Source organism: Homo sapiens, chromosome 8 (assembly GCF_000001405.40).
Source record: "Homo sapiens chromosome 8, GRCh38.p14 Primary Assembly".
Lineage (NCBI taxonomy): Eukaryota > Metazoa > Chordata > Mammalia > Primates > Hominidae > Homo > Homo sapiens.
The window spans coordinates 144798896-144824952 of record NC_000008.11 but is presented as its reverse complement, the minus strand read 5'-3'; the positions used below and the strand labels follow the sequence as shown (position 1 = coordinate 144824952).

Below are 26057 nucleotides of genomic sequence, written 5' to 3'. Positions count from 1 at the left end.
GTGGATTTGTTTTAACAGGTGTGGTAAGGCATGCACACGTGAGAATGACTGTTGTGAAGGAAGAAGTTATAGTCGTGGGTCCCTGGAAACTGGGCAGGGCACACAGGGCGACATGAGAAGGACCAGGGATGGCCAGGAGGCAGAAAGGGGGAGAGGACTGAGTTTGGCCGGAGCCTTTATTTTCTCTGGAAGGAGAGGGCAGGCAGGGTAGGTATGCAGAGTGAGCTCACGATTGGACTATTTGAACAATTGTGGCAGGCTCAGGGCTGTAGGGGTGGCCCCTTCTTGTCCGGTACCTGGCCCTCGGGTTACTTAGGGCAGGGGAAATATTGGCTTGGTGAGTGACCGTGTGATAAGGGAGGGAGATAGTTGTGGACTCTGGATTGGTTGGTTTGTGTCTCAAAGGTGCACTGGGGCTGGGCACAGTGGCTCACGCTTGTAATCCCAGCACTTTGGAGGCCGAGGAGGGCAGATCACCTGAGGTGAGACCAGCCTGGCCAACATGGTGAAACCTCGTCTCTATTAAAATACAAAAAAATTAGCAGGGTGTGGTGGTGCACGCATGTAGTCCCAGGTATTCAGGAGGCTGAGGTGGGAGAATCGCCTGCACGCAGGAGGCAGAGGCTACAGTGAGCCCAGATCACGCCACTGCACTCCAGCCTGGGTGACAGAGCGAGACTCCGTCTCAAAAAAAAAAAAAAAAGGTGCACTGGAAGGGGAGTGTTTGCCGTCTCTGGGAATTAGCTAGCCCTGGAGGGAGCAGCCTCTCCAGGATCAAGGCCCCAAATGCTTGGGTGACCCTGGAGAGCAGGGACGGAGCCCTGCAAACAAAAGGTTCTTCATTCTATGCACACACTCTCTGGTGCATGGTTTCAAAATGTCTTCGTGAAGTCGGGTCCAAGCCTCTATGCAGTGGAGAGAACACCTAGGGAGGAACAGTGCCTGACGGGTGAGCTGGGGAGGAGTGGGCACTGCCAGGAGGGCACTGGGCTGCTGTGGGATGGGGTGAGGTGAGCATCAGGTCGCGGTGCTGTAGGTGTTCCTGGAAGGCACCCTGGGCCCTCTGGACAGTCAGTCCTCACCCATGCCGCACCCATCAGAGTACAGAGATCGTGCCTCCCTGTAGTGATGATCTGTTTGGGATGGCATGATGACAACCACAAGCAGAATCTGCTTTTCTCTAACAGCCAAATCAAGAGAGACTGGAGGCTTGTGCCAGCTGGGCATCTTTGGGGGTGAGATCTTGGCAGCCGCTTCCTACCCTTCAAGTGTCCTGTGGGCAGCCCGCCTGGCTAGCTGGGTATGAGGGTCCGCCGGTTCAGGCCCTGCCTGCTGCACCTCCCCAGGCTCACTCCAGGCCTCTGGACTGTTTTCCTCAAGCAGGATTTCCAGCCTGCAAACCTGAGCTAATCTCCCTGCTGGAATGAGGGGAGGCGCCCTGGATCCTCACCCGGCCAGAAACGGGGGAGAGTGCTCCCAAGGGACCCTAGCAGAGGTGAGTGAGCGTGAACAGGGTGGACACAGCTCCACTGCCATAGGCCAGGCCACAACTTGGAGTGGGCCTGGGAGCTCAGAAGTTTCGGAGGACAGAGAACTAGGAGCCAGGAGCCTCCAAGAGCCACAGCGCCCACCTCACGGAGGGCTGGGGCAGACAGCTGGCCCCACCTGGGCACCATGCCATACAGAGACCCACGAGTGCCAGAGCAGCCACAGGACTGGGGTTTTGGGAACAGCAGTAGAGGCTGCTGCGCACACACAGAGGAGGATGGCACAGAGGCCCTGGAGATGGAGGCTCTGCTGTGCGTTGGGGATGGCCGTGCTGCCATCACACCAGGGATGTCCAGGGGGAGGCAGCCTCAGGAAGCAGTGCCACACGGGCTGGTTATGAGTCGACAGTGAGGCTTCCAGCTTGAGGACCCGGTGACATGGGCTGGGAGAGGGTATCTACTGCCGTGACCTTGGAGGGTCTTCTCTGTGCCTGCTGTTCAGGGCACCAGGGGTCCTGAGGGGAGATGGTCGGTCAGGGAGGAGCAGCCTGAATGACAGCGATTGGCTTTGCCCTGGTGCAGGGACTGTGGTCATTCCAGGTGAGGGTGAGGAGAAGTGAGGTCAGGTGAGGCTGGGTTTCCAGGCCCTTCAGCAGCACATGGCCGTTTGAAGTGCATCTCAGGAGGCAAGGGATCCTTCCCTGGGTTCAAGCAGGAGAAACCTGGGGTTCGATTAGCAGCTGTTAGGACCTCCATGTTGTCATATTGGTCATTCGGGGCCTGTTGTTGAACAGGAACAGCTGCATTGCTGGTGGGGGCTGTACCATGGAGGAGAGGGGGAGCTGTCAATCAACCACCATTGCAGACTCTGCAGCACCCGAGTGGCGACAGAGATGGTGTGGTGAGAGGTTGGTGGGACTGCTGAGGTGCCCAGGACCAGAGGGGCTCAGCACAGAGGGGTCCAGGCCGGGTCTGTCCCCCCAGGACAGAGACGCAGTTTGGGTCTAGGTGGGGGTCTGTCCATCAGCCTTGGGCTTGTGGCTGGGGATGGCTGAGATTTGACTGTTGTTTCTTTGCAGTCTTGGGGTTTGGGAGTAGATTTTGAATTTGAGCAGGTGTAGAGACAAGAAGTTTTCAAGAGTTTCAGAAAAAGGAGTCAGCCGGGCACGGTGGCTCGTGCGTATAATCCCAGCACTTTGGGAGGCCAAAGAGGGCAAATGGCTTGAGCTCACGAGTTCTAGATCAGACGGGGCAACATGGCAAGACCCTGTCTCTACAAAAAATACAAAAATTAGCCTGGCGTGGTGGCGGGTGCCTGTAGTCCCAGCTACTCAGGAGGCTGAGGCAGGAGAATCACTTGAACCTGGGAGGCGGAGGTTGCAGTGAGCCAAGATCACGACACTGCACTCCAGCCTGGGTGATGGAACCAGACCTTGTCTCAAAAAAAAAAAAGAAAAGAAAGAAAACAAAGGAGCCAGGAGGCCACGGCTAGAGCCCAGGGCAGAAACCCTCAGCCGGTAGCTCAGACCTCAAGCCAGGTTGTGAGGACTGTAGCCCTGGCTAGGGGCGTGGAGCCCGTGGACGGCCGGCCATTCTCAGTGGAAGTTAGAGGGAGGAGAAGGGGACGTCCTGGTGTGATGGACAAGAGGAGGGTGTCCTAGAGGAGGGAGGGTGGCCGGCCACCAGGACTGGACCTGAGTCTTGACTCATCATTGAGGCCCAGATTGTTTCACAGAAGGGGGGCCTGCTCACCAGCTCTCCCCAGCTCACAAAGACCCACGAACGCGGAGGGGCCTCTCTCCAGCTCTCCCCAGCTCACAAAGACCCACGAACGCGGAGGGGCCTCTCTCCAGCTCTCCCCAGCTCACAAAGACCCACGAACACCGAGGGGCCCTGGAGCTGCCGGATGAGCCGGCTTGGATTGCTGGGCCATGTCGATGCAGGCGACAGCCGGGGCACAGGGCTTGTGAGGCCCAACAGTGTCTTGCCTCCTTGGGGTGGACTCTGAGAACAGACAGCTCCAGAGCTTAGAGCCTGGCAGGTGAGAGGCACTGGGGGTGCCTGGTGGGGCCTCTCTGGCAGCTGCTGACAGGCTGGTCCTGAACTCCTGGCCGCAGCTCTGGCTGCCTCCACATCAGCGGCAGGTGCAGCCGTCAGGTGTGTCTCACGGCAGGTGAAGGTTGTTCTCAGGCCTCAGGGCCCCGGAGTCCTCATCTGGCCCCCACTGGTGCCCTCCCCATCTTCCTCGCCAGTGCCCTTTCAGACCTGTGACCCCTTGGTCACTCTTATGTGGCCTGCGGCGTGAATGACAGTTTTCCCTCACAGGCCTGTCTCCAGCTGAGCACCTCTGAGCTCCCCTAGACTCCTTGGGGGCAGGGTCAGAGTCTCCCATGACCTCGAGTCCTCCAGGGACCAGTGCCCCACAGGTCCAGCCTGCATGGGGATAGGCAGAGCCAGAGAGTGGCCACAGGCCTGCTGCGGCAAGAAGGCAGGTGGCACGTGAGCCACCGCACCCGTCCTTCCCGGGCTGGTGGTATCTGCCTGTGTCCCTGTGCTTATGGCTGCTGGCGTAAACGTAGTTACTGGCCCCTCGTAGCAGGCCTCAAGGACTCCGTGGGCCCTACCTGTGCTCCTGTGTTTCTTGTGGCTGGGGCAGCAGCAGGCTGTGAGAAGCTCCTCCTTCATACGAGGGTTTCAGACCATGCTGGGTGTGCCAGGATGCCTTCGTGGGCAGTGGGTGGCAAGGCCGCTCCGTCCTGGCAAGCCTGCCCCTGCGCACTCGCGCGGTGGATGCATACAGGTGGCCGGTGCTCCCTTCCTTGAGAATGGAGGCCGCTTGGCGGGAGACACCCAAGGGAACGGCAGCACCTTGACAGGTTTGCTTCACTGCCCTTGGCTCCTGCCTTGCCGGAGTCTGTGTGTCCCTCAAGAGGGGCCGGTCTGCAGGGTACAGAGGGACCAAGGGATGTCCCCCCAGGGTACAGATGGTCCAGGAGGATGCTTTGCAGCTTCTCAGTGGGCATTGCCCCAGGGAGGCTGGTCTGCCCGATGCCAGGTGCTCAGGGATGGAGGATCCAAGCCTAAGCCACTTCCAGGCCTGTCAGGGCAACCTCCTCGGCTCCTGCAGCACAATCTTTCTGGTTCACTGCAGTAACCCTGGGTCCAGAACAGCCCTGACATGTCACAGCCCCTCCCCGTTCAAAAGCTGGTCTCTCAGCTCGTCCTCACAAGCACCTGTGAGGCAGGAGATGCCCTCCTTTGCAGGTGAGACACGGAGGCACAGAGGTCAGGCTGCTAAGGGTGCCACCAGGGTCTCCCCCACGCCCACAGAACCACCTCCTGCCTTCCACAGCAGCTGTGTGTGGGAGGAGGACAGTTGTGGGTGATTGCAGGCCAGGTGTGATGCTGAGCAGGAGAGGAGGAGCACAGGTGAAAGGAGCTTGTGTCCCATAGGCTGGGGGTTTCTTTTTCCAATGCAATGTGATCTCCCCCTACCCCCTGTCAGACCCCCTTGGGCTGCTGGTGAAGAAGTGTGAGTAACTAGACTCCTCAGTTAGTGACAGGCTTTTTTCCCCAAGCCAGACAATGGGGAGTTCACAAAGGAGTTTGGATCTTAGATCATAAAGTGAGTCCCTTGCTTAGTGTTCTGCAGGATGTGGTTTAGTTTCAGGATCTGAGTTCTAACTGCCAATCTCAGGCCACTGGCGGTAGTGGGAGGCTGCTGTGGGTCCAGCCTGGGGGCCTGGCCACCCATACAGTGTCAGATTAGAGCCAAAGGCCACAGAGCTGGGTGGAGGGCGCTGCTTCCTTGTGGGAGCCTATGACATTTTGCCCGTTACGTAGAAATCCAAGCTAACTGGCCCCAGAGTTGCTGCCAGGTTGAAGTGTCCACTCCGAGACGTTTTGGGCAGAAGCTTGCAGATTTGCCCCTCCATTTAACTTAGGGGACAAGGGCTATGCTGACCTCCCCAACAGTGGCCTGGGGCAGGGAGCGGGAGAAGTGGCAGGCCCTGTGGGAAGGGCTGCAGGAAAGGAGGGGCCAGAAGTGGGGCCAGGCAGCAGTTCACCCACCCCAGCGCCCCTTTAGTCAGGACCTGCAGTGTCCAGCATGGTGGGCTCAAGCCCCACGTGGCCATCAGACACCTGGAAAGTGCCCCGTCCAAATCGACATGTGCCACAAATGAAAACACTTGATTTCAAAGACTCAGTATGAAAAATCAAATCAAATCTCTCACCGATGATTTTTTTATATTGATTGCATTTGGAATTATATTTTGGATTTAAGGTAAATAAAGTGTATTACTGTATTTAATGTTACCTGTTTCTTTTTACATTTTATTTTATTTTATTTTTATTTATTTATTTTTAGGCAGAGTCTCACTCTGTCAGCCAGGCTGGTGTGATCTCAGCTCACTGCAACCTCCACCTCCCGGGTTCAATCGGTTCTTGTGCCTCAGCCTCCCGAGTAGCTGGGACTACAGGCGCGCACCACCACACCCGGCTAATTTTTGTATTTTTAGTAAAGACAGGGTTTTGCCATGTTGGCCAGGCTGGTCTTGAACTCCTGGCCTCAAGCTATCCACCTACCTCAGCCTCCCAAAGTGCTGGGATTACAGGCATGAGTCACCACGCCCAGCCTCCTTTTATTTTATTTTATTTTTTATTTTTTATTTTTTCCTTTTATTTTAAAGTTAAAAAGTAGCTCAGAGATAGTGATTTTAGGTGAAGGATTTGGGCTGTGGCCTCTGTGCCCAAAACTTCTGTCTTCAATTAGATCCTTTCATTTCTACAAAGCGGGCACCACAGCCTCACATCATTTGATCATTTGATCTTTCTTTTTTTTTTTTTTCCGGAGACAGAGTCTCGCTCTTTCGCCCAGGCTGGAGTGCAGTGGCGCGATCTCGGCTCACTGCAAGCTCTGCCTCCCGGGTTCACGCCATTCTCCTGCCTCAGCCTCCTGAGTAGCTGGGACTACAGGTGCCCGCCACCACGCCCAGCTAATTTTTTGTATTTTTAGTGGAGACGGGGTTTCACCGTGTTAGCCAGGATGGTCTCGATCTCCTGACCTCGTGATCCGCCTGCCTCAGCCTCCCAAAGTGCTGGGATTACAGGGGTGAGCCACTGCGCCCGGCCGATTTTTTTTTTTTAAGAGACAGTCTCAATATGTTGCCTGTAGTGATACATAACAATTGTACGTATTTATGGGGCACATGTGATATTTTGACATTTACACATGCATGTGGCCAGGCTGGTCTCAAACTCCTTGCCTTAAGGGATTCTCCCGTCTCAGCCTCCCAAAATGTTGGAATTACAGGTGTGAGCCACAGTGTCTGGCCATTAATGTTTTTTAGAGGCTTAATGTGTTTCCTGGGTACTTGAGATACAGTGGCAAATGAGAGTGTTGGGAGATGATGAGTTTGATTTAAAAGGCATTTCGAGACATACAAATAAAGATGTCCTGTAGAGAGTTGGATATATAGATAGGAAATTCAGGAGATGTGGACTAGAGGTTAGATGCCACCAACATCTACAGAAGATAATTTAGCCATGGAAGTGTATGAAATTGTCCAGTGGGTATGTCAAATGAAGAGACAGATGGCTTTAGGACAGAAAGAAATATTAACCTTTTTTTTTTTTTTGAGACAGAGTCTCACTCTGTCACCCACGCTGGAGTGCAATGGCGCAGTCTTGGCTCACTGCAACCTCCGCTTCCTGGGTTCAAGTGATTCTCCTGCCTCAGCTTCCCAAGTAGCTGGACTACAGGTGTGTGCCACCACGCCCGGCTAATTTTTGTCTTTTTAGTAGAGATGGGGTTTTACTATGTTGGCCAGGATGGTCTCTATCTCCTGACCTCAAGTGATCCACCCACCTCGGCCTCCCAAAGTGCTGGGATTACAGGCATGAGCCACCGCGCCCGGCCAGCAATATGAATCTTTAAGGAATGGGCAAAGGAAAAGATGGAGTAGTGGAGAGGTAGAAGGAAAACCCAGAGTGCAGTGTCATGAAAATACAGGGAAGGGACGATTGAGAGGAAGGCACGGTCGAGTGCTCAGAGGGCAAGAATGACAAGAGTCCGCTGTTTTCAGCATAAGGAGGTCAGCTGGTGACTTGGTGAGGATGATTTTAATGGAGTAATGGGGTTCAAAATCCAACTGCAGTATTTCAAAGAGTGAACGAGAGGCAAGGGAAGTGGAGACAATGACAGCCCTTTCAGAAAGTTTGGCAGTGGTAGGGAGTACATAATCACTGGGGGAAAAACAGAAGGAAAGACACATTTTTAAAAGAAGTCAGAATAGGTATTAGAATAAGAAAATAAACTGCAGAGACAAGTATAAGGTTCTGGGAAGCGGCCAATAGTTAGGAGAAGTGCGTGAGGTGAGAATGCCCCCCTAGTTGATCGATGGATATGTAATAATTGTACCTATATATGGGGTACATGTCGTATTTTGATATTTACACACGAATACAATGTGCAATGATCAAATCACATTGATTATGATACCCATCACCTCAAACGTTTATCATTTATTTGTGTTGGAAACATTTCAAATCTTCTAGCTATTTTTAAATATGCAATAAATTATTACAACTATCATCACCCTAGTGTGCTATCAAACACTGGAATATATTTCTTCTATCTAACTTTATGTTTGTACCCATTAATCAACATATATTCATCTCCCACCCCATCCTTCCTAGCCTCCAGTAACCATCATTCTACTCTCTACCTACATTAGACCAACTTTTTTTTTTTTTTTTTGAGATGGAGTCTTGCTCTGTCGCCCAGGCTGGAGTGCCGTGGCGTGATCTTGGCTCATTGCAACCTCTGCCTCCTAGGTTCAAGTGATTCTCCTGCCTCAGCCTCCGGAGTAACTGGGATTACAGGCACGCGTCACCATGCCCGGCTAATTTTTTATATTTTTGGTACAGACGGAGTTTCGCCATGTTGGCCAGGCTGGTCTCAAACTCCTGACCTCAGGTGATCTGCCTGCCTCAGCCTCCCAAAGTGCTGGGATTACAGGCGTGAGCCACTGTGCCTGGCCAAGATAAACTTTATTAACTCCCACGTATGAGTGAGAATGTACAGTATTTGTCTTCTGTACCTGGCTTATTTCACTTAACATAATGACCTCCAGTTCTATCCATGTTGCTACAAACGACAGGAATTTTTTTTTTTTTTTTTTTTTTGAGACGGAGTTTTCCTCTTGTTGCCCAGGCTGGAGTGCAATGGCGCGATCTCGGCTCACTGCAACCTCCGCCTCCCAGTTTCAAGCAATTCTCCTGCCTCAGCCTCCTGAGTAGCTGGAATTACAGGCATGCACCACCACACCTGGCTAATTTTGTATTTTTACTACAGACGGGGTTTCTCCATGTTGAGGCTGGTCTCGAACTCCTGACCTCAGGTGATCTGCCTGCCTCAGCCTCCCAAAGTGCTGGGATTACAGGCGTGAACCACCGCGCCCGGCCTAGGATTTCCTCCTTTGACGATGAATAGTTCTCCACTGTGTAAGTGTACCTCATTTTCTTTATCCATTCACATGCTGATGGACACTTAGGTTGATTCCTATCTTGGCTATTGTGAATAGTGCCGCAGTAAACATGAGTAAAGACAACTCTTTGATATACTGATTTCCTTTCTTTTGGAAATATACCCAGCAGTGGGATTGCTGGATCATATGGTAGGTCTATTTTTCAGCTTTTTGAGAAAACTCCAGTGTTTTCCACAGTGGCTGTATAGTTTACATTCCCACCAGCAGAGTACCTGCTTTCTCCACATCCTCACCAGCATCTGTTGTCTTTTTGTTAATAATCATTTTAACTGGATGAGATGATATCTCATTGTGGTTTTGATTTGCATTTCTCTGATGATTAGTGATGTTGACCCTTTTTTTTTTGGCTTTTTTTTTTTTTTTTTTTTTGAGACAGAGTCTCTGTCACCCAGGCTGGAATGCAGTGTGCAATCTCAGCTCACTGCAACCTCTGCCACCCGGGTTCAAGCAATTCTTGGGCTTCAGCCTCCCAAGCAGCTGGGACTACAAGCACAAGCTACCATGCCCAGCTAATTTTTGTATTTTTAGTAGAGACAGGGTTTTACCATGTTGGCCAGACTAGTCTCAAATTCCTGGCCACAGTAATCCACCTGCCTCAGCCTCCCAAACTGCTGGGATTAACAGGCGTGAGCCACTGCACCTGGCCCCTGTTGGCCGTTTGTACATCTTTTGTAAAATGTCTATTCAGATCACTTGCCTTTTAAAATCAGATTATTACTATTATTATTTTTTTTTTTTGCTATTGAGTTGTGCGAGTTCCTTATATATTCTCGTTATTCTTTTTTTTTTTTTTCTTTTTTTGAGACGGAGTCTCACTCTGTCGCCCAGGCTGGAGTGCAGTGGCACGATCTCGGCTCACTGCAACCTCCACCTCCCGGGTTCACGCCATTCTCCTGCCTCAGCCTCCCGAGTAGCTGGGACTACAGGTGCTCACCACCGCGCCCGGCTAATTTTTTTGTATTTTCAGTAGAGACGGGGGTTTCACCGTGTTAGCCAGGATGGCCTCGATCTCCTGACCTCGTGATCCGCCCATCTTGGCCTCCCAAAGTGCTGGGATTACAGGTGTGAGCCACTGCGCCTGGCCTATTTTTTTTTTTTTTTTTTTTTTTTTGGCAAACCCATTTCTGTAGGATATTCTGGTCATTCATCCCTTGTCAGATGGATAGTTAGTAAAAAATTTCTCCCATTCTGTAGGTTGTCTCTGTTGTTTCCTTGGCTGTGCAGGTTTTTAGAGTGATATAATCCCACTTATCTATTTTAGCTTTTGTTGCCTTTGCTTTTGAGATCTTACCCAAAAAATCTTTGCCCAGACCAGTGTCCTGAAGCATATCCCCAATGTTTTCTTCTAGTAGTTTCATACTTTCAGGTTTTACATTTATGTCTTTCATCTTTAATCTATTTTGATTTGATTTTTATATATGGTGAGAGATAGGTTTTTGTTTTGTTTTGTTTTTGTTTGTTTGTTTTACAGAGTCTCACTCTTTCTCCCAGGCTGGAGTGAAGTGGCGTGCTCTCAGCTCACTGCAACCTCCACTCGCCGCTCCACTCCCTGGTTCAAGCAATTCTCCTGCCTCAGCCTCCCAAGTAGCTGGGATTACAGGTGTGTGCCACCACACCTGGCTAATTTTTGTATTTTTAGTAGACAGGTTTCGCCATGTTGGCCAGGCTGGTCTCAAACTCCTGACCTCAAATGATCTGCCCACCTCGGCCTCCCAAAGTGCTGAGATTACAGGCATGAGCCACTGCACCCGGACAAGATAGGGTTCTAGTTTCATTTTTCTGCGTATCCTCAAAATGTATTTCCAGTTTTCCCAGCACCATTCACTGCTCTTTCCCCAGTTAATGTTCTTGGCACCTTTGTTGAAAATCAGTTCACTGAATATATGGACTTATTTCTGGGTTCTCTATTTTGTTCTATTGGTCTATGTGTCTGTTTTTATATCAGTAACATGCTGGGTTTTGTTTTTTGAGACAGGGTCTCACTCTGTTCCCCAGGCTGGAGTGCAGTGGCACGACTTTGGCTCACTGCAAATTCTGCCCCCGGGTTCAAGACATCCTCCCAAGTAGCTGGGATTACATGTGTGCACCACTACGCCAGGCTGATTTTTGCATTTTTAGTAGAAATGGAGTTTTGCTATGTTAGCCAGGCTGGTCATGAACTCCTGGCCTCATGTGAGCTGCCCACCTTGGCCTCCCAAAATTCCGGGATTATAGGTATGAGCCACTGTGCCTGGCCCATGCTGTTTTGATTATTATAGCTTTGTACTATATTTTAAAGTAGTGTGATGCCTTCAGCTTTGTTCTTTTTGCTCAGGATTGATTTAGGCTGTTCAGCGTCTTCTGTCATTGTATATGAATTTCGGGATTTTTTTTCCCTATTGCTGTGAAGAATGTCATTGGTATTTTGATGGGGATTGCATTTAATCTGTAAATTGCTTTTGGTAGTATTGTCATTTTCACCAAATTAATTATTCCAATCCATGAACATGAGATGACTTTCCGTTTTGTGTGTGTGTGACCTATTCATCAGTGTTTTATAATTGTCCTTGTAGAGCTCTTTAACCTCATTGGTTAATTTTCTTTTTTTTTTTTTTTTTTTTGAGACAGAGTCCGGCTCTGTCATCCAGGCTGGAGTGCGATGGTGCCATCTCGGCTCACTGCAACCTCCGACGCCCAGGTTCAAGCGATTCTCCTGCCTCAGCCTCCCGAGTAGCTGGAACTGCAGGTGTGTGCCACCAGGCCCGGCTAATTTTTTGTATTTTTAGTAGAGATGGGGTTTCACTGTATTAGCCAGGATGGTCTCAATCTCCTGACCTCGTGATCCACCATCTCGGCCTCCCAAAGTGTTAGTATTACAGGTATGAGCCACTGCGCCCAGCCTCATTGGTTAAATTTATTCCTAGGTTTGTTTTTTGGTTTTGGTAGCTATTGTAAATGGAATTGCTTTCCTGGTTTTTTTTGGTAGTTTGGTATGTAGAAATGTTACTGGGTTTTGTATGTTAATTTTGTATCCTGCAACTTTACTGAATTTGTTTGTTCTAAGAATGTTTTGATAAAGCTTTTAGGGTTTTCTATATATAAGATCACGTTGAATGCAAACAAGGACCATTTGGCTTCCTCATTTGGAAGGAAGTATTTGGATGCTCTTTACGTCTTTCTCTTACCAGGCTGCTCTGGCTAGAACTTCTGCAGTGCAGCTTTGAGAAGGCTGAGGTGTTGGGTCTGGGGCATGGTAGAGAGATCCATGTAACAGGAAGAAAGTGGCAACCCAGGTCCATGCCTGAGTCTCCTGGTGAGACACGGAATCCCCCCAGCAGACTGAAGTGACCAGAAATGCCCCGAAAGAGGATGGCACTGCCCTTGCTTCCAGGCTGCAGTCTGCACCTGGCTGAGCTTTACTGTCCGTCTCTCTCCCACCCTGTCTCAGCCTTTGCTTCCATTCTGCAGTCTGCACCTGGCTGAGCTTTACTGTCCGTGTCTCTCCCACCCTGTCTCAGCCTTTGCTTCCATTCTGCAGTCTGCACCTGGCTGAGCTTTATTGTCCCTGTCTCTCCCACCCTGTCTCAGCCTTTGCTTCCAGGCTGCAGTCTGCACCTGGCTGAGCTTTACTGTCCGTGTCTCTCCCACCCTGTCTCAGCCTTTGCTTCCATTCTGCAGTCTGCACCTGGCTGAGCTTTATTGTCCCTGTCTCTCCCACCCTGTCTCAGCCTTTGCTTCCATTCTGCAGTCTGCACCTGGCTGAGCTTTACTGTCAGTGTCTCTCCCACCCTGTCTCAGCCTTTGCTTCCAGGCTGCAGTCTGCACCTGGCTGAGCTTTACTGTCGGTGTCTCTCCCACCCTGTCTCAGCCTTTGCTTCCATTCTGCAGTCTGCACCTGGCTGAGCTTTACTGTCGGTGTCTCTCCCACTCTGTCTCAGCCTTTGCTTCCATTCTGCAGTCTGCACCTGGCTGAGCTTTACTGTCCGTGTCTCTCCCACCCTGTCTCAGCCTTTGCTTCCAGGCTGCAGTCTGCACCTGGCTGAGCTTTACTGTCCGTGTCTCTCCCACCCTGTCTCAGCCTTTGCTTCCATTCTGCAGTCTGCACCTGGCTGAGCTTTACTGTCCGTGTCTCTCCCACCCTGTCTCAGCCTTTGCTTCCAGGCTGCAGTCTGCACCTGGCTGAGCGTACTGTCCGTGTCTCTCCCACCCTGTCTCAGCCTTTGCTTCCACGCTGCAGTCTGCACCTGGCTGAGCTTTACTGTCGGTGTCTCTCCCACTCTGTCTCAGCCTTTGCTTCCATTCTGCAGTCTGCACCTGGCTGAGCTTTACTGTCCGTGTCTCTCCCACCCTGTCTCAGCCTTTGCTTCCAGGCTGCAGTCTGCACCTGGCTGAGCTTTACTGTCGGTGTCTCTCCCACCCTGTCTCAGCCTTTGCTTCCAGGCTGCAGTCTGCACCTGGCTGAGCTTTACTGTCGGTGTCTCTCCCACCCTGTCTCAGCCTTTGCTTCCAGGCTGCAGTCTGCACCTGGCTGAGCTTTACTGTCGGTGTCTCTCCCACCCTGTCTCAGGCGCTGCACAGTAGAGGTTCAGAAGCTGATTGGACCTGAGCTGGTACCGGGACTGGGAACAAAAAGAGACAGAAACTTGTGAACATGACCCAGCAATAAGGGGTTGGGGAAGGTGAGCAGGGACTCCAGGTTCTGTGAACAGGGTCCACAGAGTAAGTGGATCGTGTCCAAGATGAGTCAGAATGTCTTTAGATGAACCTATCCTGGATGCTTTGCAAATAGCTAGGGAGAGCAACAGAAGCTACAAGTGAGTCTGGTTATGACACAGGACTCTTTCGGTGCCACTTTGCCAGCCAGAGACCTCCACGGCCGGCAACGCCCCTGCGCAAGGCCTCACGGCTCCAGGCTGTTGGAGGTACCTGCCCACTCAACCTGGGCTGGCTGTTGGAGGTACCTGCCCACTCAACCTGGCGGGCTGTGCGTGGCTTGTGCTTTGGGCTGGATCCCACGCTCGCCATGGGATCTGCACTCGGACTGCAGCTGGGCCGGGCATGCCATGACCTGCTTCCACCTTGGGTGCTGACGTCTGGATGAGAGGAACATGGTGGCGCCTGAAAAATCTGGAGACACCAGAAACCCTGGATCCCCAAAGGAAGTGTTATTCCCGCTGTCCGTGCTGTGGGTGTGAAGATGTGTGCTGCACATCCCAGTTTCCAGCACAGGACAAAGACTCAGAGAGGCACCTGCCAGGAGTCTCAGGTGATGGAACCCAGTGGCGGGCATGTGGGCAGCTGCCCCAGGTGGAAGGGATCGTGGCACAGCTCTTGGTTCCCCAGGCTGGCCCTGACCTTCGTGCTTTCCTGCCCATGGCCCAGACTTCCGAGCTCCATGTTGGGGATGCTCAGGGACAACCCTTCAGCCTCCCCCACCATGTCCCGGCTACTGCCCAGGATTCTTGTTCTCTGGAGGGTGGATCCAGCCCTCCCCATCTTGGTGCCCTACCAGGGCCAGGCTTCCCATGGCTCTTTCTGCAGCCCCTGGCACAGACTGTGGGGCGCACAGCCCGGGGAGCAGTGGGCCTTGGAGGGGCCAGGTCTGCATGTTCCCACCCCCATCATGGAGTTTGACACACCAGTGGGCAGGTAACTCAATCCCCCCTCACCTTCTCTTCATCTGTTAGGGGTGACAGGGTGCTCCCCGTGGGGCCAAGAGGATGCAGCACCCCCACCGGCTACCCTTCCGGCCACACCCTTCTCTCCTGGCCCACCTTCTGAGCTGGCAGGGCTTCCTTCCTGGCTTCTGCTGGGCAGTGTATTAGGGTCCTCTAGAGAGACAAAACCAATAATGGAGTTTAGGAGAGGGGATTTTTATTTGTTTGAGACAGAGTCTTGCCCTGTCACCCAGGCTGGAGTGCAGTGGCTCGATCTCGGCTCACTGCAACCTCTACCTCCCAGGTTGAAGTGATTCTCCTGCTTCAGCCTCCCGAGTAGCTGGGATTACAGGCACCCAGCACCACACCCAGCTACTTTTTGTACTTTTAGTAGAGACGGGGGTCTCACCATGTTGGCCAGGCTGGTCTTGAACTCCTGACCTCAGGTGATCCACCTACCTCTGCCTCCCAAAATGCTGAGATTACAGGGGAGAGCTACCGCGCCCGGCCAGGAGAGGGGATTTATTAGGCGAACTGGCCCACACACTTATGGAGGCTGAGAAGTCCTCCCATAGGCTGTCTGCAAGCTGGAGACCTAGAGAAGCTGTAAGTGAGGCTCAGTCCAGGTAAGAAGGTGGTTGAACCAAGGAAGCCAGTGGTGTAACTCTCATTCTGAGGCTGACTGGCCGAGAGCCCTGGGAGGCCTCTGTGGCAAGCCTGAGTCCAAAGGCCGAAGAACCTGGAGTCCTGATGTCCAAGGGCAGGAGATGGGTGTCTCCCTCCAGAAAAGAGAATTTGCTTGTCTTCTCCCTTTGTGTTCCATCTGGGTCCCCAACCAAGTGGATGTGCCTGCCCACGCTGAGGGCAGATCTTCACTGAGTCCACTGAAAACATCCTCACACACTCAGAAACAATGCTTCGCCAGCTGCCAAGTACAGTGTGTGTGCCTTAGTCCCAGCTACTCAGGAGGCTAAGGTGGGAGAAACGCTTGAGCCTGGGAGCTGGAGGCTGCAGTAAGCCATGATTGTGCCATTGCACTCCAGGCTGGCTGACAGAGAGATCCTGCCTCAAAAAAAGAGATAGATAGATAGATAGATAGATAGAGCTCCACCAGCCATCTAGGCTTTTTTTTTTTAAACAGGGTGTCACTCTGTCAACCAGGTTGGAGTGCCGTGGTGCTATCATAGCTCACTGCAGCCTTGACTTCCCAGGCTCAACCCATCCTCCCACCTCAGCCTCCTGAGTAGCTGGGACTACAGCGTACAGGCACAGACCACGATACCTGACTTATTTTTAAATTTTTTGTAGAGAAGTTTCACCATGTTGCCCAAGCTGGTCTCAAACTCCTGGGCTTAAGCAAACCTCCCACCTCAGCCTCCCAAAGTGATGGGATTACAGGCAGGAGACATGGCAGCCAGCTAAGGCTCCCTGTACCCTGTTAGTCGGCTTTACAGCACCTGGAATTGACCGCCACACGGAGCCTGGCGCTAAGGCCTGGCTGTGCCCAATGGTTCTGCACGAAGACCCGGGCCGGCCTGTGGGGAGCTCAGCTGCATATGCGTCTGTGGCGCCCCCTGTGCCCTGCTCTTTGGGGACTGAGCATAGCTGCCCCTCCCTCTCTCCCTTCTGCCCGCTCCTGGACATTTCCGGAAGGCCCCAGGAAATGGTGGCTGATAGTGGTTCCTGAGGCCACACCACGGGCTGCCTGGTGCCCTTTCCCTCCCCAGTGCCCGGCTGGAGCAAGAAGCCGAGCTCCTGATGGGAGCTGGCCCTTTCTTTAGACTTTGCTTCACCTTCAGGACAGGGGGTTCTGAATTTCTGCGCTAGGGCCCCGCCGGCTTGGGTGGGCTTCCAGCGTGAATCCTCGGCCTGTCGTCCCCGTCATCAGGAAGCCCAACAGGGCGCCCGCCTGCCCTCTGTGTCCTCCCCGGGCTCGCGGCCGTGCACCTTCTGGTGCTGGATGAGGGTGGACAGCCGGCTGCAGGCCCTCCCGCAGGCGCGGCACCGGTATGGCCTCTCGCCGCTGTGGAGCCGGTAGTGCTCGTTCAGCGTGTAGCTCCTGCGGAACGCCTTGCCGCACTCGGTGCACGCGAAGGGCTTCTCCTTGGTGTGGATCTTCTGGTGCAGAGTGAGGTTGGACTTGCGACCGAAGGCCTTGCCGCACTCCGCGCACTCGAACGGCTTCTCGCCCGTGTGTAGGCGCAGGTGCAGCAGCAGCAGGGAGTTGTGTCGGAACGGCCTCCCGCACACCGGGCACTCGTGGGGCGGGTCCCCCGCCTGGGGCCTCTGCGCAGCTCCGAGCAGGGCGCCCTGCCCCACGCCGCCGTCCTGGGCACCCTCCTGCGCGTGCAGCCGGTGGTGCTTCAGGAGCGAGGACCCTCGGATGAAGCGCTGCCCACACCGCAGGCACCGGTAGGGCCGCTCCCCGCTGTGGATGCGGCCGTGCTCGTTGAGGGTGAACCTGCGGCAGAACGCCTTGCCGCACTCTGTGCACGCGAAGGGCTTCTCCCCGGTGTGGAACTTCTGGTGCTGCAGCAGCCGGGAGCTGCGGCTGAAGGCCTTGCCGCACTCGCCGCATGCGTAGGGCCGCTCGCGGGTGTGGACGCGGTGGTGGGCAGCCAGCTGCGTGCTCTGCCGGAAGGCCTTCCCGCACTCGCCGCACTGGAACGGCTTCTCCTCAGTGTGGATCAGCTGGTGCCGCAGCAGGATGGAGCTTTGCTTGAAGGCCTTCCCGCACTCTGTGCACTGGAAGGGCTTGGCGCCGGTGTGGATGATCTGGTGCCTGAGAAGCAGCGAGTTGTATCTGAACGCCTTGCCGCACACGCACCTGTAGCGGGGGGCTGAGCTCCCCACAGGCCGGCCCAGGTCTTCCTGCAGAACCCTTGGGGAGGCGCTGTGCTCCCGAGCCCGGGGGTGGGTGGGTTTATCTGACCCGTCCTCAGGACCGCCATGCGGGTGGGGTGGTGCAGGGTGCCCCCCCACAGGGTGCCCCCAGGGGAGGCACCCCCACACGGTGCCCGGCAGTCCTGCCTGCCTGGAGAGCTTTCTCTGCAGAGGAGACTCCATGATCCCAGCCTCCATCCTGGAATCTGAGAGAAGGAACAGAAAACGGAAGGATGATCCAGCCTCTACACTCACAAACGAACTTCTTGTTTGAAGACATAACCTTTTTATTCCCAAGTCTTCCCCCAACACCCAGCTTTACTGAGGTATAAATGACAAATAAAACTTGTATACAGGAGGCTGAGGCAGGAGAATTGCTTGAACCCAGAGACAGAGGTTGTAGTGAGCCGAGATCGAGCCATTGCACTCCAGCCTGGGCGAAAGAGTGAGACTGTCTTAAAACAAAACTTGTATATATTTTTGGTGTACAACATGATTCAATAAACATCTACACTGTGAAATGATACCACAATCAAGTGAAGACAGAGTCTTTGTTAGACGTGTAGGGAGGTTTGAGAAATTATTGCCAGAGGTTTTAAAATCAGGGTTTCAGGCCAGGTCCAGTGGCTCACGCCTCTAATCTCAGCACTTTGGGAGGCCGAGGTGGGCCGATCACCTGAGGTCAGGAGTTCAAAACCAGCTTGGCCAACACGGTGAAACCCCATCTCTACTAAAAATACAAAAATTATCTGTGTGCGGTGGCGAGCGCCTGTAGTCCCAGCTACTCAGGAGGCTGAGGCAGGAGAATCGCTTGAACCCAAGAAGCGGAGGTTGCAGTGAGCCAAGACCGCACCACTGCACTCCAGCCTGGGCGACAAAAGCAAAACTCTTGTCTCAAAAAAATAATAAAAATAAAAATAAAATAAAATCAGGGTTCGGGTGAGAAGGGAACAAAAAGGCTAATAATGGCTCCAGCACTGTGGGAGGCTAGCTCAAGGGGAGCCCATAGGAGAGGCCCAAGGTCTGGCAGGGAAGACAGGCCAGGCATGAGGTGCAAGTTGTACCTCACCCCACAGCCATGTTCTTTACTCCTCTCTCCTTCAGAGTTCACCCACAGTTCCTGCACTCAGCAAACATGTCTGGGCAGGTGCGTAGAGCAGGTGCCTGCGCAGACCTCTGGGACTGGGGGCCTCCTCCCCAGCTCAAGGTTCTTTCTGCAGCCTCCACTGCCCTGAGCTCAGTCCCTGGCACATGGGCCATAGGGAACCAGGAAACCAAAGCAACCTGTGGGCAAGCAAGCCTCCCAAGTGCCAAGGCAAGAGACCGAGGGCACAAGCTGTTCCAGTGTAATAAAGAAAATATATAAAATAAGAATAGTTATACTAGAAAGAGATTATAGATATGATGATATATGAATAGTATTAGTCATCAGCTTGTAGCATTACTCTTTATTCTAATATTATAATAATCTCTGTTCTGGCCAGGCGTGGTGGCTCACGCCTGTAATCCCAGCACTCTGGGAGGCCGAGGCGGCGGATCACAAGGTCAGGAGATCGAGACCATCCTCGCTAACATGGTGAAACCTCGTCTCTATTAAAAATACAAAAAAAAAAATTGGCTGGGCGTGGTGGTGGGCGTCTGTAGTCCCAGCTACTCGGGAGGCTGAGGCAGAAGAATGGCGTGAACCCGGGAGGTGGAGCTTGCAGTGAGCCGAGAACGCGCCAGCCTGGGCCAAAGTGCGAGACTCCGTCTCAAAAAAAAAAATAATGGCCAGGCGCGGTGGCTCACGCCTGTAATCCCAGCACTCTGGGAGGCCGAGGCGGTGGATCACAAGGTCAGGAGATCGAGACCATCCTGGCTCACACGGTGAAACCTCGTCTCTACTAAAAATACAAAAAATTAGCCGGGCATGGTGGCGGGCGCCTGTAGTCCCAGCTACTTGGGAGGCTGAGGCAGGAGAATGGCGTGAACCCGGGAGGCGGAGCTTGCAGTGAGCTGAGATCGCGCCACTGCTCTCCAGCCTGGGCGACAGAGCGAGACTCCATCTCAAAAATAATAATAATAATAATCTCTGTTCTACAATTATAACCTAGGAAAAACCAGGCCATACAGAGATAGGAGCTGAAGGGACACAGTGAGAAGTGACCAGAAGACAAGAGTGTGAGCCTCTGTCACGCCCGGACAGGGCCACTAGAGGGCTCCTTGGTCTAGCGGTAACGCCAGTGCCTGGGAAGACGCCCGTTACTTAGTTGACCTTGGTCTAGCAGTAACCCCAGTGCCTGGGAAGGCACTAGTTACATAGCAGACCTGGAAAGGGAGTCTTCCTTTCCCCAGGGTAGTTAGAGAAGACTCTGCTCCACCACCTCTTGTGGAAGGCCTGACATCAGTCAAACTCGCCCACAGCCATGCTGAGGCCTGACCGTCTCCCTGTGATGCTGTGTTTCAGTGGTCATGCTCCTGTTTCACTTTCATGTTCCACCCTGTACACCTGGCTCTGCCTTCTAGACAGCAGTAACAGAATTAGTGAAAGTACTAAAAGTCATTAAAATGCATAGAAGAAATAATGGCGTAAGCTGTCCTGTCTCTCTCTCCGCCTCGGCTGTCAAACAGGGAAGGACCCCCTGTCCGGTGAACATGTGACTCACATGACCTTATCAATCATTGGAAATGACTCACACTCTTTACCCTGCCCCTTTCGCCTTGTATCCAATAAATAACAGCGCAGCCAGGCATTCAGGACCACTACCAGTCTCCATGTCTTGGTGGCAGTGGTCCCCCAGGCCCAGCTGTCTTTTCTTCTATCTCTTTGTCTTGTGTCTTTATTTCTATGATCTCTCGTCTCTGCACATGAGGAGAAAAACCCACAGACCCTGTAGGGCTGGTCCCTACACAACCCAAGGGTAATGGCACTGTGAGCACAGACCCGGCCCCTGACACCTTGGGGACACCAAAATGGAAAACTCTCGCACTTGGGTCTTCCTGCATAAGTTAGTTTTGACCTTAGACCTACAAGCAAGGCAGTTAGTAGGAAATCTGGCCCTGCTGTGAGGAGCTAAACATACACACCTCCCACTGTAGAAGAAGGGACCTGCAGAGCTGCCCGGAGGCCAGGCCACATTGGCAGCACAGGACACGCCCTGTGGGTGCTTTGTACTCACCTGTGCACAGGCTGGCTTTGGCCACGCTCTGTTCAGCCACCTGCAGAATCAAGGCCCCCGGCTCCTCTCCTTGCTCCAATAGGGAGATCAGTGCTGGTTTGGCAACAAGAAAGCCTAAGCTCAGAGAAGGAAAGCAGCACGTATCAGTACAGGAGGGAGAAGGGACGCCCAGGTGCCTGGCTGGAGGCCATCAGGGCACAGAGTGCTTGGAGTGGGTCAGGAACATTCACTATCCCAGAAGGGGGCAGCTAGGTGGCCAGGGGGAGATGGGGGGCCTGCCCCAGGAGAGAAGCCTCAGGCAGGCTGACGCTGGCAGTGGGTGCCCAACAGGAAGCAGAGAGGGGCTCCTTGGGGAGCCTCCAGCTTCCCCTCAAAAATGTGTCAGACCTTGAATCTGCAATGGAACCAACTTCCTTTGAAGCTAACACAGACGCACCTCCCGGCCCCAGGACCAAAGGCAGAAGCCCTCACCTAGTGAGGCCAGGTTCCCATAGTTCTCCAGCATCACGTCCCTGTAGAGTGCCTGCTGGTCGGGGGCCAGGCAACTCCACTCTATCCTTGTGAAGTACACAGCCACATCCTCGAACACAACCGCCTCCTGCAACCACATACTCTGCTATCCAGGCAGTCAAGGGCTCGGTGAGAACCCAGCAGATGAGAAACATTTGCATGATCTGCTAGAGGCCTCTCTCCTTGCTGCCCACTGCTGCATCCACAGGGCCCAGCAGAGAAAGGGCAGCCCAACACCCCCCGAGTGAGCGGCCTCATTCTCAGCAGAAGCCCCAGAGAGGAAGAGGGAAAAACTGAACTTGGGGGAGGGAGAGAGATTTACCAGGAAGGGGGTCCCAACCTTGGCCTCGCCCTCTCCACAGGCTATCAGGGATTTGGGGAAGGAGCACCTGCACTGTGGGGAGCATCCCCACCCTCTGGGTCTCAATTTCTAACACCAGCAGTGAGTCAGCATCAGGAGAGGGAGGATGGGCTGACCATTCACACCAGGAAGGAGGCAGGCACTGGGGAAGGACAGGGACCCTGCCCTCAATGGCTGACCATAGAAGCTCAGGGGCCAGAGGAGGCCGCAGGAAGCCCACTTCTGCCCAAAGGCTGGAAGGATTTGGCAGAGCCATGTGTGAGGCCTGGCCATAGAGCGAGGAGGCTGTCCTCGGCTTGCAGACTCCATCCTGTGATGTGGGTGGGTGTGAGGCAAGCTGTAAGGTTCTCAGGGCTGAAAAGCTGAGGCTAGGGGCGAAGCAGTCTCCTGGGGCAATGGACGGGCTCAGGGGGTGCTCACCTGAGGTCCAGGCATCGGGAGTGCCATCGCCATTCCAGGGTCCCTCTGTGGAGGAGCAGATGCTACAGACAGTGAATTCTGAGGGAACATAGAGCCATGAGTGGAAAGAGCCCAGGCCTAAGGCCCTCCAGCCCCCCAGAAGGCCCCTCCAGATCCAGAAGGGAGCAGGAGAGGGTAAAGTGCTAGGGCAATCACATCAGCCGCCTCCTTCACGTCCCAAGGAGGTGTATCCAAGCTTCTCCATGGGAACACCCACTCCTTCCAATGTTTTCTGGCTCTCACCTTGCTGGGAGGCCTTCTGTGACCACCATTTTTTAAACTGCCACCTCCCCTCCTGCCTGGGAATTCCTTATCCTCGCTCCTTGCTTTATTTTTCTCCATAGCACTATGCCATCTGACATAAGACAAGTTAACTTCCTTGCTCCTTATCTGCCTTCCCCAATTAGACAAGGCCTCTGGTCTGTACCCCTAGGGCCTGAGGAAGGGCTTGGCACACAGCATGTGCTCAGAAAGGATTTATGAAATGAACAAAGCGTGACTGGTTAGAGCAAAATTATTGTTTTGTTTTGTTTGAGACGGGGTTTCGCTCTGTCGCCCAGGCTGGAGTTGGTGGTGTGATCTTGGTTCACTGCAACCTCTGCCTCCTGGGCTTAAGATTTCCTCCCAGGATGGCCAAGGTTGCACCATTGCACTCCGGCCTGGGCAACATTGCTCATTATGAAATGAACAATGGGTGACTCTGCAACCAATAAAACCATGTTGTGGGAACATCAGAAAACATTCTTGCATTTTACTACATGAAACAAGCAGACTGTAAGCAGAAAAATAAAGCTGGTAGCATAAAACTCTAGCTCTCTCTGCGTCATAGAATTATGAGTGGTTCCTCTTTTTCTCCTATTTTTCTTTCCTTTTTTTGAGACAGGGTCTCAATGCGTGACCCAGGCTGGAGCGCAGTGGTGTGATCTCAGCTCACTGCAGCCTCAACTTCCTGGGCTCAAGCAATCCTCCCACCTCAGCCTCCCGAGTAGCTGGAACTACAGGCGCATGCCACCACACCCAGCTAATTTTTAAAAGTTTTTATTATTGATGAGGTCTTACTATGTTGCCCAGGCTGGTCTTGAACTCCTGGACCCAAGTGATCTCTTGCCTCGGTCTCCCAAAGTGCTGGGATTACAGGTGTGAGCCACCACACCCGGCCTCTTTCTATTTTTCTAATTTAACACTTTTTTGGCCAGGTGCGGTGGAGACAGAGACCATCCTGGCTAACACGGTGAAACCCCATCTCCACTAAAAATACAAAAAATTAGCCGGGCATGGTGGCAGGCACCTGTAGTCTCAGCTACTAGGGAGGCTGAGGCAGGAGAATGGCGTGAACCTGGGAGGCGGAGCTTGCAGTGAGCTGAGATCGCGCCACCGCACTCCAGCCTGGGTGACAGAGTGAGACTCCGACAACTCGCTCTTGTTGCCCAGGCGGGAGTGCAATGGTGCAACCTTGGTCATCCTGGGAGGATCCCTTAAGCCCAGGAGGCAGAGGTTGCAGTGAACCGAGATCATGCCACCAACTCCAGCCTGGGCGACAGAGTGAGACTCTGTCTCAAACAAAACAAAACAATAATTTTGCTCTAAGCAGACGTATACAGAGTAGGCATGAGGCCCTGTTCTCCTCACTCTTCCCTTCAACAGACACTTGAGCTCTTGTGTTTGGGTGAAGGTCTCCGGGGCTATCCATTTCTGTAGAGCTGGAGCCGTCTAAGTAGCTGCCACTTTGTAAAGAGATGTTTCCCTTTAGGCATCAGTTAACAAAAAGCATGTGTTTAGAGGCCAGGCACAGTGACTCATGCCTGTAATTCCAGCACTTTAGGAGGCCGATGAGGGCGGATCATTTGAAGTCAGGAGTTCGTGACCAGCCTGGCCAACATGGTGAAACCCTTCTCTACGAAAAATACAAAAATTAGCCGAGTGTGCTGGTACGCACCTGTAATCCCAGCTACTTGGGAGGCTGAGGCAGGAGAACTGCTTGAGTAGACAGAGGTTGCAGTGAGCCAAGTGTGCCCCGCTGCACTCCAGCCTGGGCGACAGAGTGAGGTTCTCTCTCAAATAAAAATAAAGAGTGCGTTTAGAGGCAGGAGGGCTGCTTGGTCACAATGCTATGAAGTGACATTTGGCAGCAGAGCCCTTTTGACATGTTAGGGTACGAAGGGCGATGGGGGTGGATCAGACAGATTCGTGAATCACCCCTGCACAGAGGGCACAGACTGCAAACGCATGGAAGAGCAGGGCCACACCACCCCCACCCAGCCCCCACTCACTGTCTGTCCAGGGCAGTCTGTGGCAGGACCCACCTGGGCCACTGCGATGGCCACACGTGTTGTCCTCACCCCAACAAGGCAACCAGAGTATCTCAGGGTATGAGGCTGCCAGAAGACTTGATCCCCGACCCCTCAACACATACCACCCTCCACTCTGGTAAGAACTGCAACCCAGGACTAGGGTAGGACTTGGACTAGGAGCGGTAAGTTACTGCTGCTTTGTGTTTGCTCATGTCTAGGGAGTGCATGTCCTCAGGGAGGGGCTACCTGGTTAGAGGGGAAAAAAACCTGCTTTTAGTTCTATCTTCGGAATTAGGAAGTAAACCTTCAATCAGATTAAACAGCACTGAGCTAAAAATAATGGAGCAGTGATATGATGACAACAGATCAAGCTGTTGCTGAGACAGAAAATGTCAAGGGGAGGAGGGTGCTAATTTTAGATGAAGGACCACCAAGAAATGTTACTGGGGGAACTCATTTAACTGGGGTCTGGAAGACTAGGAGGGGTCACCTCCTTCCATACGCAGAATAAGCCCTGTTCCTCGGGGACCTGGGGCACCCGGCTCACTACGCCGCAGCCATGCCAGCCTTCTCTCTGTTCCCCCGCCTGGGAGTTTCTCCTCAGGGATCTGTGGCTGCTTCTCTCCTCCAGCAGGTTTCAGTTCAAATGTTAACTCTTTTTTGTTGTTGCTGTTGTTTGCGACAGAGTCTCCCTCTGTTGCCCAGCCTGGAGACCAGTGGCGCGATCTCGGCTCACTGCAAGCTCCGCCTCCCGGGTTCACGCCATTCTCCTGCCTCAGCCTCCCGAGTAGCTGGGACTACAGGCGCCCGCCACCACGCCCGGCTAATTTTTTGTATTTTTAGTAGAGACAGGGTTTCACCGTGTTAGCCAGGATGGTCTCGATCTCCTGACCTCGTGATCCGCCCGCCTCGGCCTCCCAAAGTGCTGGGATTACAGGCGTGAGCCATTGCGCACGGCCAAATGTTAACTCCTTACAGAGCCTCCCCTGACCGCCAAGGCTACCCTAACCCCCTAACTCTCACAATTTTATTTCCTTGGTTTATTCTGTGCGAGGCCCTTGTCAAAACCAGAAGTTATTTTGCTGCGTTATTGCCTGTTACACTAACGCCTCACCTCTATTACAATTCATGCTCCTGGAGGCGAGGCGGGCTGTTCGCTCACTGCGGGGTCCCCAGCACCGGAACGCTCACAGTTAAATACCCAACAGCTATTTACGAAATGACTGTTGGTCCAATAAATGCCCCAACCCGGGGAGGGGGCAAAACTGCGCAGGGTAAATGAACGCTGCGGGAAACGGCGTCCGCCGGGGAGCGAGGCTGCCGGGAAGAGCCCGCCATCGGACGGAAGCGAGGGGCAGAGCCTGGTCCTCCCCGGAGCAGCCCCACCTCGCCAGGCCTCCCCGCCTGCAGCCTCATCTCTGCGCAACCGTCCGGCTCGGCGGAGCGGGTCTCGGGGGCCCGGCCGCACGCCCCCGACCACAGCCAGCATGGACCGGGGCGCAGGGCCCTTCGCCCCGATAAGGGTTCGGAACCCAAGGCGAGCGGAGGCGACAGTGACGGCTGCGGGTCCGCTCCCTGCCGAGCTCCGCGCGCCCACTGCGGGGGCTACAGCCTCCACCAGGCCGGGCTCGGAGGACCGCGCCCCTCCCAGTCCCCGCCCCGCGGCCGCGGCCGACTCACCCTGGGCCGCCGAGACAGCGCGGGGAGGAGCGCACGGCGCCC

The 26057-nt window shown here is 53.5% G+C and overlaps 1 protein-coding gene and 1 long non-coding RNA gene across 13 annotated transcripts in view, besides 8 other annotated features; one reads left to right on the top strand and one right to left on the bottom strand.

The window, feature by feature from the left end:
- LOC100130027 (uncharacterized) overlaps positions 1 to 16143 on the top strand; it is an 18231-nt gene extending 2088 nt beyond the window's left edge. Inside the window, exons 2-5 of the long non-coding RNA NR_147501.1 lie at positions 8845 to 8993; positions 10509 to 10637; positions 11647 to 11762; positions 13877 to 16143. This is a non-coding gene — a long non-coding RNA (uncharacterized LOC100130027). The remainder of the gene's footprint in view (positions 1 to 8844; positions 8994 to 10508; positions 10638 to 11646; positions 11763 to 13876) is intronic.
- On the bottom strand, positions 11440 to 26040 carry ZNF517 (zinc finger protein 517). Of its 12 annotated transcripts, none has more exons than XM_047421745.1 (6): positions 26016 to 26040; positions 22006 to 22083; positions 21186 to 21312; positions 20715 to 20828; positions 14686 to 14847; positions 11440 to 14161 (listed from the first exon to the last, which is right to left on the bottom strand). In XM_047421745.1, exons 2-5 carry the CDS (start codon positions 22036 to 22038, stop codon positions 14693 to 14695), a joined length of 429 nt encoding a protein of 142 aa, XP_047277701.1. In that variant the 5' UTR covers positions 22039 to 22083; positions 26016 to 26040; the 3' UTR covers positions 11440 to 14161; positions 14686 to 14692. The 12 variants fall into 12 exon arrangements, 10 of the variants coding, with proteins under 10 accessions (XP_047277701.1, NP_001371837.1, NP_001371836.1 ...); NR_134284.2 differs by lacking the exons at positions 11440 to 14161; positions 14686 to 14847 and adding exons at positions 14869 to 15735; positions 16467 to 17762; NM_001384905.1 differs by lacking the exons at positions 11440 to 14161; positions 14686 to 14847 and adding exons at positions 14869 to 17762; positions 23981 to 24097.
- Positions 19799 to 19938: an enhancer, noted in NCBI's record as "active region_28105". NCBI's record gives its function as "activates an Ori minimal core promoter by ATAC-STARR-seq in GM12878 lymphoblastoid cells {active_cell/tissue: GM12878}" and the evidence as "EXISTENCE:reporter gene assay evidence [ECO:0000049][PMID:35858748]".
- Positions 22939 to 23836: an enhancer, noted in NCBI's record as "H3K27ac-H3K4me1 hESC enhancer chr8:146026502-146027399 (GRCh37/hg19 assembly coordinates)". NCBI's record gives its function as "activates a minimal SCP1, AML or CMV promoter by ChIP-STARR-seq in naive H9 embryonic stem cells {active_cell/tissue: H9 hESC(naive)}" and the evidence as "EXISTENCE:reporter gene assay evidence [ECO:0000049][PMID:30033119]".
- Positions 23837 to 24735: an enhancer, noted in NCBI's record as "H3K27ac-H3K4me1 hESC enhancer chr8:146025603-146026501 (GRCh37/hg19 assembly coordinates)". NCBI's record gives its function as "activates a minimal SCP1, AML or CMV promoter by ChIP-STARR-seq in naive H9 embryonic stem cells {active_cell/tissue: H9 hESC(naive)}" and the evidence as "EXISTENCE:reporter gene assay evidence [ECO:0000049][PMID:30033119]".
- Positions 24736 to 25633: an enhancer, noted in NCBI's record as "H3K27ac-H3K4me1 hESC enhancer chr8:146024705-146025602 (GRCh37/hg19 assembly coordinates)". NCBI's record gives its function as "activates a minimal SCP1, AML or CMV promoter by ChIP-STARR-seq in naive H9 embryonic stem cells {active_cell/tissue: H9 hESC(naive)}" and the evidence as "EXISTENCE:reporter gene assay evidence [ECO:0000049][PMID:30033119]".
- Positions 24736 to 25647: a biological region, named in NCBI's record as "H3K27ac-H3K4me1 hESC enhancer GRCh37_chr8:146024705-146025602".
- Positions 25538 to 25647: an enhancer, noted in NCBI's record as "active region_28104". NCBI's record gives its function as "activates an Ori minimal core promoter by ATAC-STARR-seq in GM12878 lymphoblastoid cells {active_cell/tissue: GM12878}" and the evidence as "EXISTENCE:reporter gene assay evidence [ECO:0000049][PMID:35858748]".
- Positions 25678 to 25877: a silencer, noted in NCBI's record as "silent region_19712". NCBI's record gives its function as "represses an Ori minimal core promoter by ATAC-STARR-seq in GM12878 lymphoblastoid cells {active_cell/tissue: GM12878}" and the evidence as "EXISTENCE:reporter gene assay evidence [ECO:0000049][PMID:35858748]".
- Positions 25898 to 26057: a silencer, noted in NCBI's record as "silent region_19711". NCBI's record gives its function as "represses an Ori minimal core promoter by ATAC-STARR-seq in GM12878 lymphoblastoid cells {active_cell/tissue: GM12878}" and the evidence as "EXISTENCE:reporter gene assay evidence [ECO:0000049][PMID:35858748]".

Bases quoted from the DNA above. Each gene is read 5' to 3' on its own strand.
- ZNF517 (NM_001384904.1), bottom strand. From the start codon at position 22,038: ATGGCGATGGCACTCCCGATGCCTGGACCTCAG. The intron at 21,313-22,005 runs GTGAGCACCCCC...ATGTGGTTGCAG, and splicing joins TCCCGATGCCTGGACCTCAG to GAGGCGGTTGTGTTCGAGGA. The intron at 17,763-20,714 runs GTGAGTACAAAG...TCCTTCTCTCAG, and splicing joins CAAAGCCAGCCTGTGCACAG to ATTCCAGGATGGAGGCTGGG.